Source organism: Homo sapiens, chromosome 2 (assembly GCF_000001405.40).
Source record: "Homo sapiens chromosome 2, GRCh38.p14 Primary Assembly".
Taxonomy (NCBI): domain Eukaryota; kingdom Metazoa; phylum Chordata; class Mammalia; order Primates; family Hominidae; genus Homo; species Homo sapiens.
This window is the reverse complement of record NC_000002.12, coordinates 224,590,697-224,609,988: the sequence shown is the minus strand read 5'-3', so window position 1 is coordinate 224,609,988 and position 19,292 is coordinate 224,590,697. Positions and strand designations below refer to the sequence as shown.

General features: G+C 42.4%; 1 long non-coding RNA gene across 1 annotated transcript in view; it reads right to left on the bottom strand.

The window, feature by feature from the left end:
* The window catches only part of LOC105373909 (uncharacterized), a 61,147-nt gene extending 54,969 nt beyond the window's left edge, over positions 1-6,178 (bottom strand). Inside the window, exons 1-2 of the long non-coding RNA XR_923955.1 lie at positions 6,131-6,178; positions 2,671-2,836 (exon numbers count right to left, since the gene is read on the bottom strand). This is a non-coding gene — a long non-coding RNA (uncharacterized LOC105373909). The remainder of the gene's footprint in view (positions 1-2,670; positions 2,837-6,130) is intronic.
* Between the last annotated feature and the right edge of the window lie 13,114 nt (positions 6,179-19,292).

The window sequence follows — 19,292 nt, the reverse complement described above, 5'->3', positions numbered from 1 at the left end:
AAATTAGCTGGGTGTGGTGGCGCACACCTGTAGTCCCCGCTACTCAGGAGGCTGAGGCAGGAGAATGGCTTGAACCCAGGAGGTGGAGGTTGCAGTGCGCCGAGATTGTGCCACTGCACTCCAGCCTGGCGACAGAGTGAGACTCCATCTCAAAAACAAAAAAAAGAAAAAAAAAGTCTTCAGCCTAAACATGTGCTGGGTAAAATACACACAGATAAATTACTCACTGACAAAACCCAAAGGTAGTTAGTGTGTGCATGCACTCACACGTTTTAGAGTATCACTTGCCACTAGAAATAGAAAAAGCTTTTAACAGCAGTACAGAAATAATGCTTCTATGAACATGAGTATACAAATATATCTCTCTATATAAATAATCTATATATAAAATATATGTGTATATCTACACACATACACACACACACACATGATAGAATAGGCTAAACTGCTAAGCAAACCAAAAAAAAAATATATAGCAGTTCAAATCAAAAAAGTTGATTTCTTGCTTAACATCCAAAATGAATACATCCAACTGACAGCAGACTTTCCTCAACGTGATGCTTCAGAGACCCATGCTCCTTCCTTCTTGTGTTTTTTTTTTTTGAGACGGAGTCTCACTTTGTCCCCCAGGCTGGAGTGCAGTGGCGCAATCTCGGCTCACTCCAAGCTCCACCTTCCGGGTTCACACCATTCTCCTCCCTCAGCCTCCCAAGTAGCTGGGACTACAGGCTTCTGCCACCACGCCCAGCTAATTTTTTGTATTTTTAGTAGACAAGGTTTCACCATGTTAGCCAGGATGGTCTCAATCTCCTGACCTGGTGATCCACCACCTCAGCCTCCTAAAGTGCTGGGATTACAGGCGTGAGCCACTGGGCCCGGCTCATATCTGCTTCTTAACCACCTTGTTTTTGGAAGTAACACACACAGCTTCTACTCTTAGGTCTGGCACTAACTAGTCACCTGGTCATTCCTAGATGCAAGGCAGCTGGGAAACAGCTCCTGCTAGCGCAGCTGCCTTCCAGTAACTGTTCTGTGTCTGCACTGTCCAACAGGGTAGCTATTATGTGGCTACTGGGCACTTGGAATTTGGCTCGTCCAAACTGAGGTGCACTGTAAGTGTAAAACGCACACCAGAATTTAGTGACTTAGTATAAAAATAAGACTGTAAACATCTCAATAATTTTTATATTGATTACATATTGAAACAGCAATATTATATATATATATATGGGGTTAAATATATTATTAAAATTGATTTCACTTGTTTTAAAAATATTCTTAATGTAGCTATTACAAAATTTTAAATTACACATGTGGCTTGCATTCTATTTCTATTGGATACTGTTATAGAAATTAGGTTTCTCTGTTACACAGATTATCTATCTTATAGAATCAGGATAGAACATACATCTGGGCCACTCACAGAACTACAAGGAGGAACTGGAAAGATCTCTGAAATCAAAATGTGTACTCTCTTTTTCCTTTTTCCTCCCTCTCTCACTGATCTTTGTCTGACTACCTGCTGGCTTTGCCCTTTTTTCCTCTCTCTGCCTCTATGTGTGTCTCCGTCTCTTCCTGTCTCTTTCATCTCTGTTCCAATCCACTGTGTCCAGGAGGATGGGGTCATGTGGCTTGCTGCCCATTCACCAAAAGTAATGGGAACAGGTTCTCAGGAAGAAGGCACAGCTAGGTCAGACAAACTGACATGTTTGCTTAGCATATAAAATGTGTAAACACGATGTGGGCTTGGCAGCTGTCAACATTCCCCAGTTTTTACACTTAACAAACTATATTTGCTTTGAGGCCTTTTGTAAGTATTCTGTGTTGAATAGGTGACAAATTTAATCTGAGAGTATATTATTCAATTCGTGTCATCACTAAAGAAAACATGTAACTAATCTTTCTTTGTGGGGCTTGTACCAGTGCCCAGAAATAGTCAGCATCACTGACAAGCCTCAAATTTCCAAAAGTGTACCTTGAACTCAATGCCTATTCATATAATAACAGATTTCACCCATAAGACCAGGCTCACCATATGCATCAATTATATGAAGCTATAAAGTTAATAAATGGGTGACATACCCCCAAATAGAACTTTCTTATAGGTCTGGAGCTTTTAAATTTAGTTCCTGAGGGTCTTTTGGGCAGTCTCAATAAAGGGATGACCTTCCATAAATGAGCTGATGAAGAGCAAAGAGATATAATTCAATCAATTATTATTGAATTATTTTATAACCACATCATTTTCTGTAGTTTAAGAAATGTATCCAAGTGGTCCCTGTTAGAACATATATATGTGACCTAGAGATATTATTAGATTACCAGATGCTTTTATATCTTCAGCAAGTATTTTTGTGCCAGACATTATCCTAAATCCATTCTCATCATTAACAATTTATCAGACATAGATTTTTTTTTGGATATTATCTTTCCCGAGGAAAAAAATGGGGCCCATAAAAAAAGGAATAAAGAGCAGTAACTTTTGCTGAAAGATAGGATTTGGTTCACTTTAGAATATGCCCATGAAAAATGAGCTTTAGTGGGATGCGGCAGAGGAACCCCAAATAGCTCGGATGTGGACTAGGACCCTGGGCATTTGGGAGGGAAGGGAGGTAGGAGATAATGCAGAAAGAGGAGGCAGTGGTGCCCACCAAAACACTTTTTGCCTACTTTGTCATTCTGATGGAACTTGAGCTTTGACAATGATTCTCTTCTTTGCTGCTCCATTTCACAGCCCTGCTTTGGGGCTATGGTCTTCAAAGTCGGTAGGAGTCTTCTAAGTTCCTGAGGGTCTTTTGGGCTGGTCTCAATAAATGGATGACCTTCCATAAATGAGCTGATGAAGAGCAAAGAGATATAATTCAATCAATTATTATTGGATTATTTTATAACCACATATATGCACTAAAAGACTATTTAAAACATTTGAAAACATTAAAACACCTCTTAGCATCCATAAATCTGTAGTATGATTTGAACTTATTTTTAAAACTTGGGTTTAGCATTTAGCTGAATTTCACTAATTTCTCCTCCCTGATAGCCTGAATATTCTGCTTAAGATAACAATATTTGGTTCATATTATCTCTAGCAATATATATTTCTTTCATATATATTAATATATTTTATTAAGCTGGTATTGAGCAGGAAGGAAAATGGCTAGGAAAATTCAAGAAATAAAAATAGCATCACAGTGTATATGGATTAAATTTATAGGAAACTTTATTATACCTTTTACTTAGAAAAAATTTTTAGGTCAATAAGACATCAAAAGTTTTTTAAAAGTTGACTAATAGATTAAAAGAAAGCTTATAGGTTTTTACAGCTCTTTGTGGTTCATAATAAAAATTAAACACCATTTAATAGAGTTCGAATTTAAGATGTTTAAAGTGGAAAAAATACAGTAACTTTTTTTTAGAAAAAAAGCATTTTACTAAAATTTTCATTGCAAAAAATTATGACTAATGCAGAAAATTATGACTAATTTTATTTTGGCCTAAACACTGATAAAATATTTATAGAAAAATTATAATTTTCTTAACTTTTAAAATATTCACATATATATTGTGTTAAGATATCCTTAGACAAAAAAATAATACCTATATGAGCAACTGCAAAAATGAAAGAAGGGTTTGGGGAAATTTCTTTAGCCAATTTACTTAATATAAGGACTTGGATAATATGTAAAAGTGACTGGGATCTTTAAATAAGAGGTCAAGAGTTAAGACAGGGTAAGCTGGCCGGGCATGGTGGCTCACGCCTGTAATCCCACCACTTTGGGAGGCCGAGGCGGGTAGATCACAAGGTCAGGAGATCGAGACCATCCTGGCTACCACAGTGAAACCCCGTCTCTACTAAAAATACAAAAAATTAGCTGGTCGTGGTGGCACACGCCTGTAATCCCAGCTACTTGGGAGGCTGAGGAAGGAGAATCCCTTGAATCTGGGAGGTGGAGATTGCAGTGAGTAGAGATAGAGCCACTGCACTCCAGCCTGGGCAACAGAGCAAGACTCCATCTCAAAAAAGGAAAGAAAAGACAGAGTAAGCCAAGCAGACTGTTGGCTTACTAAAACAAAAGGGAGAATAAAAAGGAATGTTACTAAGGTAGGAAACAGGCAAATCTATAGACCTCTGAGGAGCTGGTTTCCATAAATATGGGCCTCTTTCCCAGTAAACTGTCATTTCCTATATGCGCTGTTTAGCTTAATAGTAGAATTTTACTGTAATCAAAAGTTAAGTAGGCTTACTAAAATTCTTGAGTGTTTTGTTTTGGCGAATTCCATAGTTACTATGATGCCAATTCGCAGGAGTCTGACATAAATGATACATAATGCTAAAAAATTGAGTTTAAAATACACTTCTATTTTATATTCTATTCCCATAATAGAGGAACAGAAAATTGAGTCTAATGCTGCTATGATACTGACACTTCAAAAAAGATTTAATTAGTTTCTCTGACAAAGCAGTAAATCTTTAAATTAAAGAGTTCAGGAGTGCTGAGCCCCATAAATTCTCTAAGGAAATTTAAATAGGAATAAGTTTTAAACACATCCTTCTGGTGCCTCCCATGAGGCAGCCAGTGTTGCCCCTTGACAAATGTCAAACATAAATATACCTCGAATTTAGAAGACTCAATCACAGGCATGTAGTATTAATAAAACAAAATTTCATGATGTTAAGGAAATAAAAGTCAATCTCCAAAATGCTGGAGAATGAGACAGAAAAAATGTCAATAAATACAAAAGGTCACGTTCTTCTATAACAATAAACAACATTTCATAAGTCCTGATGAAATAGTATGGCTTATTTTAAGTGTTTTACATGGACTGAATTTTTAATCTTCATCAACCCTATGTGGTTGATGCTATTATTCCCATTGTACAGATGAGGAAACGGGGGCATAAATAGATTGAGTAACTTCATAGACTATACTGCTGGAGGGTATCTATAGCAAAAGCTATGGCTGTGCCAACTACATTCCCTTGGGCCTTATTAATGTAAAGCACACCCGAATCTCACATCTACCTGCCAGGGCCTGTGGCAGTCTATTTTGTATTGGGCAAGGCAGACCAAAAAATCCAGAACTAGAATCAGAACCTACCCTCTTCCAGGATCCCTCAACCAAGGACTTATGTGATTTAGTGTATAATATCCTGCTCCCTCACCCCTCAAGCAGGAAAGTCGGAGGCACATATTCTGTATTGGCTACCAAGAGTTCCCAAATAAGATTAAATTCTAGCAGTCATAACTCACTTGAAAATTCATCATTTATTGTCTGCCTTCCCTCTCCTTTCCGACTTCCTCCGTTCCTATCAGTGATTCCTAAGATCACCTTCCAAATAAACTAGTTTCACTCATATCCGTGTCTCAGGGTCTGTTTCTGGGAACCCAAACTAAAAGGGACCACTATTCAGGATTAGAACCCAAAGAGCCTGGCTGCAGAATCTCTAAGATTAATCATTACAATATACCGCCCACTCTCAAGAAGTTGACACATATTTTGTAAAAATTGTCTCAAGTCATGATAGAAGGAAAAATCATTCCCCATTTTACATCCCAACTTCCTGTCAAGAATTGTGAAGGGCCTGAGATTTTGTTTTTTGCCAGCTAACAAGTTAGCCTGCCACAGAGTATGAATCGTTAGAAGATCGTTAGAAGACACGAGACTCCTGGGGCAGACACAAGAGGCTTTATTACTCATAGCAAGAGAAGTAGACAGAGTATTGAGAGGTGACAACGTGCTGGCAGTCCTCACAGCCCTCGCTCACTCTTGGCGCCTCCTCTGCCTGGGCTCCCACTTTGGCGGCACTTGAGGAGTCCTTCAGCCCACCGCTGCACCCTGGGAGCCCCTTTCTGGGCTGGCCAAGGTCGGAGCCGGCTCCCTCAGCTTGCAGGGAGGTGTGGAGGGAGAGGCGCGAGCGGGAACTGGGGCTGCGCGCCGCGCTTGCGGGCCAGCTGGAGTTCCGAGTGGGTGTGGGCTTGGCGGTCCCTGTACTCGGAGCAGCCGGCGGGCCCTGCCGGCCCCAGGCAATGAGGGACTTAGCACCCGGGCCAACGGCTGCGGAGGGTGTACTGGGTCCCCCAGCAGTGCCGGCCGACCGGCGCTGCGCTCGGTTTCTCACCGGGCCTTACCTGCCTTCCCGCGTGGCAGGGCTCGGGTCCTGCAGCCCGCCATGCCTGAGCCTCCCACCCCCTCCGTGGGCTCCTGTGTGGCCGGAGCCTCCTCTACGAGCGCCACCCCCTGCTCCAGGGCGCCCAGTCCCATGGACCACCCATGGGCTGAGGAGTGCGGGCGCACAGCGCGGGACTGGCAGGCAGCTCCATCTGCAGCCCTGGTGCGGAATCCACTGGGTGAAGCCAGGTGGGCTTCTGAATCTGGTGGGGACGTGGAGAACCTTTATGTCTAGTTCAGGGATTGTAAATACACCAATCAGCACCCTGTTTCTAACTCAGGGTTTGTGAATGCACCAATGGACACTCTGTATCTAGCTACTCTGGTGGGGCCTTGGAGAACCTTTATGTCTAGCTCAGGGATTGTAAATACACCAATCGGCACTCTGTATCTGGCTCAAGGTTTGTAAACACACCAATCAGCACCCTGTGTCTAGCTCAGGGTTTGTGAATGCACCAATCGACACTCTGTATCTAGCTTCTCTGTTGGGGCTTTGGAGAACCTTTGTGTGGACACTCTGTATCTAGCTAATCTGGTGGGGACCTGGAGAACGTTTGTGTCTAGCTCAGGGATTATAAATGCACCAATCAGCGCCCTGTCAAAACAGACCACTCTGGCTCTACCAATCAGCAGGATGTGGGTGGGGCCAGATAAGAGAATACAAGCAGGCTGCCCAAGCTAGCAGTGGCAACCCGCTGGGGTCCCCTTACCCACTGTGGAAGCTTTGTTTTTTCGTTCTTTGCAATAAATCTTGCTACTGCTCACTCTTTGGGTCCACACTGCTTTTATGAGCTGTAACACTCACCGCGAAGGTCTGCAGCTTCACTGCTGAAGCCGGCGAGACCACGAGCCCACCAGGAGGAAGGAACAACTCCAGACGCGCTGCCTTAATAGCTGTAATACTCACCGCTGAGGTCTGCAGCTTCACTCCTGAGCCAGCGAGACCACAAACCCACCAGAAGGAAGAAACTCCGAACACATCTGAACATCAGAAGGAACAAACTCTGGACACGCCGCCTTTAAGAACTGTAACACTCACTGCGAGGGTCCGCGGCTTCATTCTTGAAGTCAGTGAGATCAAGAACTCACCAATTACGGACACAGTATCAGCCTTTTCACCAGTACCCCAAGGCCCAATTCCCACAGGGCAACAGGGACAAGCCCAGATAGACAGCTACACATAAAATTGATTGTGTAATAGTAGAGAAACCCTAAAGTTAGGGAACCCTAATCTTTTATACTGAATAGTAAGCATGCCTGCTGTTTGCTCCACAAAGAGACATCATCTCTTTCAAGGCTGTTCTATAAAAATCCTTGAAAAAATAGTCTGTAATAAAGGAAATCAGTGCCTCACTTGCAAGATGTGCAGATATGCAAGAGATCAATGGAAAATTATCTTCCAGCACTTCCATATTCTGAAATCAAGAAAGATGTTTATAGTTTCATCATACGCTAAAAACATATAATTATGCCTGATAGAAAATGGCAAAAACAAAGGGTAAATTTTTAAAAATGTTGATCACATTGTTCTTTTCTGTCTTTGCTTTTTTGTTTTCAAAGCATAAATACATTTTGATTTGATACCCATAATAATCCTGTCAGGTTAGTATTTTATAGCTGATGGAAAACTGACTCAGAAGATAAGGTGTTTCACTGACACTCATCTAGTGAGTGATGGGGCTGAAACTTAAACCCAATACTTCTAACACCAAAGCTGCCAGACACTTGACTAATTGTACTGGAATCAATGGACAATTGCCTAGAACTTAAAACCTAAGATGAGATTGAGTGGCTCTCTTAGTTTCTTCAATGCTGCCACACATCCGCATCAGGATTTCAAAAATAATACTGAAGGCAAATCGGGGGAAAAAGGGATAGGTTGTAAGTGGAGGAAAGGACATAAATGTCTTTTTTATTTTTTAATGTTCAACTCTCCTTTCCTCTGTTCCTGTTTTTTTAAGGTGGTTTGCACCATGGAAATCAGAAAAAAAAAAAAAAAAAAAAAGCCCAGAAAAGCTGTGGGTTTAGAATTGAGCTGTGAAACAATTTCCAGAATTATCAGAATTACAGCATTTTCACCCAAATGGCTGCAATATATATGTATTAAATATTTCAGAATTTCATGCCTTTTTCCCATCAGGGAAATCTGCGCAATTTCAGTTCATTCAAAAGCTCAAGCTAAATGTTACACTTTTGGACATACTGTTTGTAGCATTAGGGTGCCCCTGTTTATGACATATATGATGCCTGAAAGAAAAGTATATAGATCAAATTCTACTATATCAAATTAGAATTAAAGTGCATTATGGAAATTTTTTACTTAAAGGAATCCTATAGTGAATCCATTTTGTCAAAAACAGCTGTACTTAGTGTGACACACGGTGACTAGTGGGAAAGCCTTAACCAGAGTCGAAACTCTGAGATTCTAGTGCTGCTGAACATTTGTGTCATTTGTGACAAGAGGTAGGGACATTGAATTAGATAATCTCTAAAGGTTTCCAGTTCAGTTTTCCCTTTCCTGGAGTGCAGTGGCTAACAGCATTGGCTATAGACCCAGACAGATACAGTTTCTGTATCTGCTGCTTATTGGATGTGTACTCTCTGAATGTTATATAACCTTCTTATGCTTGTTTCCTAACTTGTAAAATAAGGATAATTCCCCATACTTCAAAAGACATTTGTATTAAATTAGATAACATTTATTTATTTATTTATTTTTATTTATTTTTTTGAGACGGAGTCTCACTGTGTCGCCCAGGCTGGAGTGCAGTGGCGTGATCTTGGCTCACTGTAACCTCCGCCTTCTAGGTTCATGCCATTCTCCTGCCTCAGCCTCCCGAGTAGCTGGGACTACAGGCACCCGCCACCAAGCCTGGCTAATTTTTTGTATTTTTAGTAGAGATGGGGTTTCACCGTGTTAGCCAGGATGGTCTCCATCTCCTGACCTCGTGATCCGCCCACCTTGGCCTCCTAAAGTGCTGGGATTACAGGCATGAGCCATGGCACCTGGCCTAAATTAGATCACATTTATTAAGCGCTTTGTGCAGTTCTTGGCACTTACTGGGCACTGATAAATTGCAACCAAAGTCGTTATTAATTCTATGTTTTCATAATCAAGTTCACTTAATGTGAGATTTTCTATCATACAAGCATTTTCTGGACTCTTTTAAATAATGTCTGACTACTAGTAATTTAATCCATGCATTCATGTTTTTCTCAACATTTTATTGAAAATTTCCAAACATATTGTAAGGTTGAAGGAACTGTGCAGTGGTATTATCATCTATTTTTCTACCCATCCCTATATCCATCCAAAATCCTTATTATTTTGATGCACTTCAAATCAAGTTGAAAACATCAGTATACATCATTCCCAAACATGTCAGCCTGCATATTGTTAAACAGAGTTTAGAATAAAGAGTTGCCTATGGTTCTTTTTCTTCCTTTTGAGCTAAAATTTCACATATAATAAAAGTATGTATTTATTTTTACATTTTAAGGTGATTCAGATATTCAGAATTGAATCACCAGTTATGTTTGCTGTAACACAATGCATCAGAATGGCTTTAAAATTTGGTGTTAAAGGAAAACCTCACCTTACAGGCCAGCTGAAACACACCAAGTTTCTCTTTAGTTGGTTGATTTATTTGGGTACATGCAACTTGACGCACAGTATACCCATATCCAAAAAACAATAAACTGCAATAAAAGAAGTTGTACTGCGGTTACTTAAAAAAAATTCTCTTAACCATAGCTGGGACATTTAGATAAATATAAATTTTCTGGTGAACTGAGAAAATTTTTTCGCTTCAAAACTTGTTGAAACTTTAGCTCCTTTCTCTAACATAGAGAGAACACTTAGCAAAACGAAATCTTTTCTCGAAGACGGTGGTCATGAGTAAAGATCATAGTAACAGACAGAAATAGAGAAGTTGCAGATGGCATGGAAATTGACTGACTTTGTGGGACCCCATACCCACCGCAAACCAAGCACGAGGGTGTTTGTTTTATTGGCTACTTTATTTGTTGGTTTTGCATATTGTGTTTTTTTGGTTTTATGTGTTTATTTTGATGGCATTTATTTCACCAGAGCAGAGACAACAAAGCCTGATTCTTAGGTCCTGGTTACTTAAGGTTTTTCTATATACTGTAGAAAATTCACTCTGAACACACTGGGAGCTTTTTCAAAGCAAGGGGACAATTCAGCAGGGCAGTCAGGAACATGGGTCAGGAATGCAGCCACGCACACTTCCCCCTGGAGTTCTGCCACCTGCTAGCTTTACAACCTCAGGCAAACCTCTTCACCTTGCTAAGGTATGAGTTTTTTGGGTTTTTTTTTTGTTTGTTTTTTTTGAGACGGAGTCTCGCTCTGTTGCCAGGCTGGAGTACAGTGGCCTGATCTTGGCTCACTGCAACCTCCGCCTCCCGGGTTCAACTGATTCTCCCGCCTCAGCCTCCCGAGTAGCTGGGATTACACGCACGTCCCACCACACCCAGCTTAGTTTTGTATTTTTAGTAGAGATGGGGTTTCACCATGTTGGCTAGGATGGTCTCGATCTCTTGACCTCGTGATCCACCCACCTCGGCCTCCCAAAGTGCTGGGATTGCCGGCATAAGCCACCGCGCCCGGCCAGTATGAGTTATTATTACATTTTCAGTCTATTACTGAAAACTGCAACATGGTAGTTTATCAAGTTCTTAAGCATAGATTCCCCATTTTTCAGTCATGCAGCAACATCCGCTTAATGCCTCCTAAGTGCAGAACACTCAGGATGACAACAAAAAAATATTTATTTTAACGTTCCAACTTTTAGGAGCTTCATCCCATTATCTTGCATAATTGGAATAAAGTATTTGAAATAGACTATTCAACAGAAAGATGACATAGTTGTGAAACATCTGACTCTAGAATTGGACAAACCTGAAATTAGACAAAAGGGTTTGAATTCCTCTCTCATGACTAACTTATGTGGTGACCTTAAGCAAGTGACTTAACCTGTCTCTGATATGACAAGTTACTTAATCTCTTGAAGATATGACTTTCTTACCTGTAAAATGAGGAAAACAACAAAACACAAGCAGATATTTACGAAGTGCTTATTATTTGCAAGGTGCTGAGTGAAGCACACTCAACATTCCCTAGCTCATTTAATTCTCACGACCATTTCGTGAGGTAGGTACTTTTACTGTCCCCTCCTTTATGTTTTTAAAAAGGAGCACCCAAGGGCATTTGGCTAGTTAGTTGACCCCAGTGCTCTTTGTCACAATACTATTATAATAATAGTCACACAGGACTGTGTGAGCATGAAACAAGCAATGCAGTCATGACACAGGCACACAGGTGGTGTTTTATCAGTGGTAGCCCTCCATTCCGTTGGGAAAGTATACCCCCGTGAAAATACCAGAAATTGTACCTTAGATATTTCCTTACTTTAGGAAGTTAGGCCAGGCGCGGTTGCTTATGCCTGTAATCCCAGCACTTTGGGAGGCCAAGGTGGGCAGACCACTTGAGGTCAGGAGTTCAAGACCAGCCTGGCCAACATGGTGAAACCCCATCTCTACTAAAAATACAAAAATTAGCTGGGTGTGGTGGTGCATACCTGTGATCCCAGCTACTCGGGAGGCTGAGGCAGGAGAATCGGTTCAATGTGGGAGGCAGAGGTTGCAGTGAGCCAAGATTGTACCACTGCACTGCATCCTGAGCGACACAGCGAGACTCCATCTCAAGAAAAAAAAAAAAGAAAAAGGCCAAGCGTGATGGTTCATGCCTGTAATCCCAGCACTTTGGGAGGCCTAGGCAGGCAGATCATGAGGTCAGGAGATCGAGACCATCTTGGCTAACACAGTGAAACCCTGTCTCTACTAAAAAATACAAAAAATTAGCCAGGTGTGGTGGCACACACCTGTAATCCCAGCTACTTGGGAGGCTGAGGCAGGAGAATCACTTGAACCCGGGAGGCAGAGGTTGCAGTGAGCCGAGAATGCACCACTGCACTCCAGCCTGGGTGACAGAGCGCAACTCCGTCTCAAAAAAAAAAAAAAAAAAAAGGAGGTTAGTAAATGATCCCCCCAAAAGAAGCAATAAATTATGAATAGATCTGACGTAAAATACTAACTTCTATTCCCAAAGGGAAGTTTCCTTGTTATGCCAGCTGTTCACATCTTAGGGAGACACATGCACTTTTGCTACCAAATAGTAAAGACAGGGTCAAGCGCTTGAGGGGTTCCACAATGACTGATAAAACATTTTTGCATCAGTCAAGTATAAACATTTCTGCACTAAACATCCCAATACCAAATTCTCACATACCCCCTCACCCTTCTTAGGAGGGTCCAAAATGAACCCAAGATCACACTTTATTCTTTGGCAATGTCTTGATTAATTTGTAATGTAAGGTGCCAGTTTCTTATCAACAAGCAGGAAATGAAGAACCAAATCCCAGCGTCCTTCTCAGGAGCCAGACTACAAGAAGAGGAGCGCCCAGAGGGCCAAATGGGCCCCTCTCCTGAGAGTCTTATATTTATGGTTTCTTCCCCATATATTGGCTCAAGTAGGACACATACTTGAATCTCTCTCTCACATTATTTTCTCATGTGTTTTATATAGATGTGTCTGCCTTACTAGAAATTTTGGCAAAATGATAAAGCAGTTTCTTTTTCTTTTCTTGAGATAGGGTTTCACTCTATCGTCCAGGCTGATGTGCAGTGGTGCTATCATAGCTCACTGCAGCCTCGACCTCCTGGGCTCAGGTGATCCTCCCACCTCAGCTTCCTGAGTAGCTGGGACTATAAGCACACACCACCACATCTGGCTAACTTGAAAAAAAAATTTTTTTTGTAGGCTGGGTGCAGTGGCTCACACCTGTAATCCAAGCACTTTGGGAGGCCGAGGCCGGAGGATCACCCGAGGTCAGGAGTTCGAGACCAGCCTGGCCAACATGGTAAAACCCCGTCTCTACTAAAAATACCCTGACTCTACTTGGGAGGCTGAGGCGAGAGAATGGCTTGAACCTGGGAGGTGGAGGTTGTAGTGAGCCAAGATGGCACCACTGCACTACAGCCTGGGCAACAGAGCAAGACACCATCTAAAAAAAAAATAACAATTTCTTTTTCTTTGGTAGAGATGAGGCTTCACCATGTAGCCCAGGCTGGTCCCATAGTTATCTATTGAGTCTACCTGAGCATGAAGCTAATTTGGTTTCTGTGATTTTGTGCATTTGGTTTGCTTTATTTTTGGAGGAGAGAGTTTTGGAGGGTAAAGGGCCTCTTCCTCCCCAAGTTGCACTGTGTGGGCAACCACCTTGTTCTCATTTGCCTGTGGCTAGTTTATAGATCACATAAAAGCAGGTAACAGTGAATAAGGCTTCTCTAAGAGCTTCTGAAAGAGCAGCCCAGAACCCCTGACAGGAGAGTGCAGGTGTCTGTGAAAATGTGCACACCCACGGTAACTTTTGGAACAAGCCTCACCTTTCCGTAGGGCCCTGCCTATGATGTACTTTTCTTTGCTCTCATCATCTGAGAACTGTTGTGGATGAGAACTATTCTTCAGTGCAGTTTGAGGCCTGAGATCATGCACCTTCATTAGCCATACACTATTATACACACACACACACTCACACCTCCTGGACATTTCCCTTCAAACTCATTAATCTCCATGTAAATCTCTTCAGAAAGAGATAAACAAACAGGCTCTGTACTAATAAGTGGTAGTGGTTGACTCCCAAGATCTATTCCACCTCTATGACTAGTATTAACTATGCCCATCCCCCTTGGCACTGAATGGATTAAAACAGGAATGTAACCTAGTCTTGGCTAATGAGCCATGAGAGAGAGTCTCCTGCCTCTGGGAACAGTTTCCTACCCATAGTACAGATCCATAAGAAGGAGACAGTCTCTCTTCTTCCTCTGGTCTGGACTTTGTTGTATCTGTGATACCTATAATGACTGTAGCCACCTTGCCACCAGTCAAGTAGGAGCCCAGGGCCAAGAAAACTATCACAACGTTGGGCTGGAGCCCTGCGATGTAGCATGCCTGGAATCCATCCTGCCTCTGGACTTCGTGCTATATGACATAATATATTTGATTACGCCAATTGGAGTTAGGTTTTCTGTTACTTGCAGTGGAAAGCAATTTAGCTGATTCAGATGCTGTCTGTTTTGTTGCTATAACAGAATACCTGAGAGTGGGCAATTTATAAAGAAACAAGGTTTATTTAGCTCACAGTTCTGCAGGCTGGAAAGTACAAGAAGCATGGTGCTAGCATCTGCTTGGCCATGAGCTAGGTCAAAACATGATGAGGGTCAAAGGGGAAGTGAACATGTGTGCAAAGAGATCAAAGAGGAGGAGGAACCTCACTTTATAAAACCTCCTTTCAGAGGAATTTTTTTTTTTTTTTGAGACAGCGTCTCACTCTGTCACCCAAGCCGGAGTGCAGTGGCAGGATCATGGCTCACTGCAGCTTGACTTCTCAGACTCAGGTGATTCTCCCACCTCAGACTCTCAAGTAGCTCAGACTACAAGCACATATCACCATACCCAGGTAATTGTGTGTGTGCGTGTATTTTTAGCAAAGGCGGGTATTCGCCATGTTGCCCAGGCTGGTCTCAAACTCCTGAGCTCAAGAGATCCGCCTGCCTTGGTCTCCCAAATTGCTGGGATTACAGGCATGAGCCACTGCACTTAGCCAGGGAATCTATTCCTGGAGCAGTCCAGTCTTGTGAGAGAGAGAACTCACTACAGCAAGAATGGCACCAAGTCATTCATGGGGATCCGCCCCCCATGATTCAAACACCTCCTACGAGGCTCCACCTCCAACACTGCCACATTGGGGATCAAATTTCAACATGAGTTTTGATGGAAACGAAAAAACCATATCCAAACCATAGCAGATGCACTATAATTTTCATGGGCAAACTTAATTGTTAGCAGTCATCTAATGTCATATATTTCTCCAATTACTCATCTACTCTACTGCTTTGAGTAAATAATTATAATTACTAATATTCTGTGGGTTCAAAGGTATTAGTTGTTGATATGGAGGAGAGTCTGCTGACTTGTTTTAAAAAGCAATATTTCATGCCTGTAATCCCAGCACTTTGGGAGGTCGAGGCGGGCAGATCACCTGAGGTCAGGAGTTCGAGACTAGCCTGGTGAAACCTTGTCTCTACTAAAAATACAAAAATTAGCCAGGCACGGTGGCGGGCGCCTGTAATCCCAGTTTACTTGGGAGGCTGAGGCAGGAGAATCACTTGAACCACAGAGGCAGAGGTTGCAGTGAGCCGAGATCACGCCACTGCACTCCAGCCTGGGCAATAGAGTGAGACTGTCTCAAAAAATAAAAATAAATTAAAAAAAAAAAAGCAATATTGCTTGTATTCAACTAATTTGTAATCCTTCCCTATCCCTCCCACCGTCACTCATTAGCATGTAGCACTGGTTAGCGTAACATTGGAAGTAGCCATGAAAATTCATCAAAAACCAATGATGAATGAGTTGATCAAACTACAGCCACATGGACCATTCCAATTACCTCTAGATGCCTGGACATAATTATGGGAAGAACTGCCTTCTTATCAATAGACATAAAAAGTACTTCAGCCTGTAATCCTAGCACTTTGGGAGGCCTAGGTGGGAGGGTAGTTTGAGCCTAGGAGTTTGAGACCAGCCTGGGCAACAAGCAAGACCTCATTTATACAAAAAATAAAAAAAGCCAGGCGTGGTGGCATGTACCTGTGGTCCCAGCTACTCTGGAGGCTGAGGTGGAAGGATTGCTTGAGCCCAGGAGTTCAAAGCTGCAGTGAGCTGTGATTGCACCACTGCATCGGGAGACAGAGTGAGACTCCATTTCAAATAAAAAAAAAAAAAGGACTTTGGAAAATATAGTATCATAGTTTTGATCAAATTATTAAGGGTGATTTAATTTGCCATGTAGTTATGATTAACATGAGTCCCTTAACTTTTCTGTTTTTGTAATGAGTGAGGTAAGGTCCAGCATTGTTGCCCTTTTGGACATGATAAATGTGTCATCTCAGTGGGGAAAGGAATGCAGGCGAACAAATGATGATGAATTGGACCACATGTATGTAGTTAACAAATCCAAAGTTTATGATGCTTATGTTTTAGAAAGAACATAGTATAAGAAAGCTCATGAGAAGTGATAGTATACATTACTTTGTGCGTTTATTTTGAGCCCATTGTTACATCTTAAAGTCATTATAACAGATTTAAAGTTTTCATCCTAGATGTGTAGTGAACCAAATCTTAATCTAAATACTGAGAGGGTGTCAATAATTTAAAGCCTGTTGAAGATTTTGAACTGGTTTAAAATTCAAAGTTGAGTTCCCATCGCTGTTTCTTCTTTTCCATTGTTTCTGGGAACCTTGCTGCTCTTGACTATCCCTGGAAGGACAGATAACCTGGGAATTTCCTTCATAGATAAGAGACAGCTAGTGGAAAGGTCTAGTGAAATGAACATTGCAGGGAAGATGAATGCTGATTGGAAAGTGATATGCTTGAGACAGGATGAAAGTATAGGTACAAGATATACGTGAAAGAGAGGTCACTGTGTAAGAAATAATGGAAGTGGGCATCAGGGAAGAGACAGAGACACAGGATGTGGTAGTAGTTGCATAAATGCAGAAACCAGGCCAGGCACAGTGGCTCATGCCTGTTATCCTAGCACTTTGGGAGGCCAAGCAGGCGGGTAAATTGCCTGAGCTCAGGAGTATGAGACCAGCCTAGGCAACATGGCAAAACCCCATCTTTGGTCGGGGGTGGTGGCTCATGCCTGTAATCCCAGCACTTTGGGAGGCCGAGGCAGGCGGATCACGAGGTCAGGAGAGCTAGACCATCCTGGCTAACACGGTGAAACCCCGTCTCTACTAAAAATACAAAAAATTAGCTGGGCGTGGTGGCGGGCGCCTGTAGTCCCAGCTACTTGGGAGGCCAAGGCAGGAGAATGGCATGAACCCGGGAGGCGGAACTTGCAGTGAGCTGAGATCACGCCACTGCACTCCAGCCTGGGCGACAGAGTGAGACTCCATCTCAAAAACAAACAAACAAAAAACAAACAAAAAAACCATCTTTACTAAAAATACAAAAAATTTGCTGTGCGTGGTGGCCCGCGCCTGCAGTCCCAACTATTCAGGAGGCTGAGGCATGAGAATTGCTTGGATCCAGAAGGTGGAGGTTAGAGTGAGCTGAGATCGCACCGCTGCACTCCAGCCTGGGAGACAGAGCAAGACTGTGTCCAAAAAAAAAAAAAAAAAAAGGCAGAAACTAGTAAACACGCTTGTGACGCTTGTGTCATTTACCAAACCTAGACTGAAAAAACAAAGATGAGATTAGAAATTAACCATAAAACAACTTCTAATATTGAGTTCAAAGTATGTGCGGGGTGTTGTGCTAAATACTTTATCTACATTATTTCACTTAATTCTCAAACTAGTCTTAGAGGTTGGTACTATTATTAGCCTAATTTTACTATTGAGAATAATTGGGGCTCATTTAATACACCGCAGAATGCGGATTAGAACACAGATAGTCTGACTCCAGAACTGGCACTTTTAACTATGATGCTCTATTGTTTTACACTTTAATATATGAGTTAACATGGCAATGCACAGAGCCACTGCTAATCTATGTGGTGGCTTTGTGCAAATCAGAAAAAAACAAAAGGCCCTGCCCACCTCCAGAACAAATGCAGCTCCACAGCTCCAAAGCTTAGAGTGGAGGTGGCATCTCTGACCAAGCAAACAGGTGCTCCGTCCTCCAGGTGATAATGGCCCTTGCAGGGCACAGGCCTTGGATACTAGTCTCCATTTGCCTCCTCAGCTAGACACCTCCCTACAGTGCACAGACTCTATAACTCTATGAGGGGCTTTACCATAATTTATATTAATATATGTTTTTTACCGTTACCACTCTAAGGGCTTGTTTACAAGCTCTCTACACGAACATCCCTTGTTAGCCTCTCCAGATCTAAAGTTCACCTTCCTCCACCCTGGACAGTTGTACCCTTGTGACTTTTATGGACTCCATCAATGGCTCCCATCAATGGCTCCCTTGAGCTCTGGCTTTCAGTTAGGTTCACACAATGGGAGGCACCAGTCAGAAATCCCACGGAAGGAGGAAAGTGAGGCGGGTATTTTGTCTGTTGGCAGCCTTCTCACTGTGCCAGAAAGCATCAGTAGCTTTGGTTTCCCCCTAATGCCTCAGTTTGTCAGGCAGCTCTCTCCCACAGTAATAGCAAGAATCTCTGGTGTCCACTTCTTCCCTTTTGTCCTTCAAGCCTGGAAGCAGTGCAAGGCCCCCTGCTGTTGCTAGTCCTAAGCTGCTTCATCACCCCTTGATCACCTTCTATCTCTACCCATACCATGTGAAAGTCCTGTAGTTAAACTCTTCTCAATTTCCCTGTTGGAGTGAGCCATCTGTTTCCTGCCAGGACGCTGAGTGACACATGGGGGAAACAAACTTTGACTATTTTAAGCAAAAATGGAATCTGGGGAAGGCATGTTTGGAGTCACAGAAAACTAGGGGAGGTAGGAGGACCAGGGTTGGACAACAAGCAGGAACCAGAGGACAGCTGGAAAGTCGAGGAGCAGGAATTGCAACTAAAGTCATTCTGTGGGAAGAGCCCAGGCCACCCACTGCCACTGCTTGAGTACCCACCAACCATCCTGTGTCCTTCAGTCACCTACTCAACAGTCAGAGCTTCTAGGAGAGGGTCTGATTGCCTGTGTCTCCCTGTACCTCCACTCCCAGGCCGAACTGGGCAGAGGACAGGGAAGATCAGACCCCTCCAACTACCATGGTAGGAAGTAGAAGCCACTATCCACCAAGACCACACCCAGTGGGTGATTCTGTTAAAACAAGAGACCAGGGTACTAATAGGAAATACCTCCTCCCCTCCCCAAGAAAGGACAAACATCACTATACTAATTAACAGAAGAATATGAAACTGCCTTTACAACAGGCATCTAAAGTAGTTTTTTTCCTCAAAAAAAACCAAAAAAAACCCCAAAGGTTCATGTAGAGATAGCCACTTCTCAATGAGAATTTCAGTAACAGAGAAGTTCCATACCATTTTTAACCAATTTCTCATAAATGAAAATTCTTTAAAA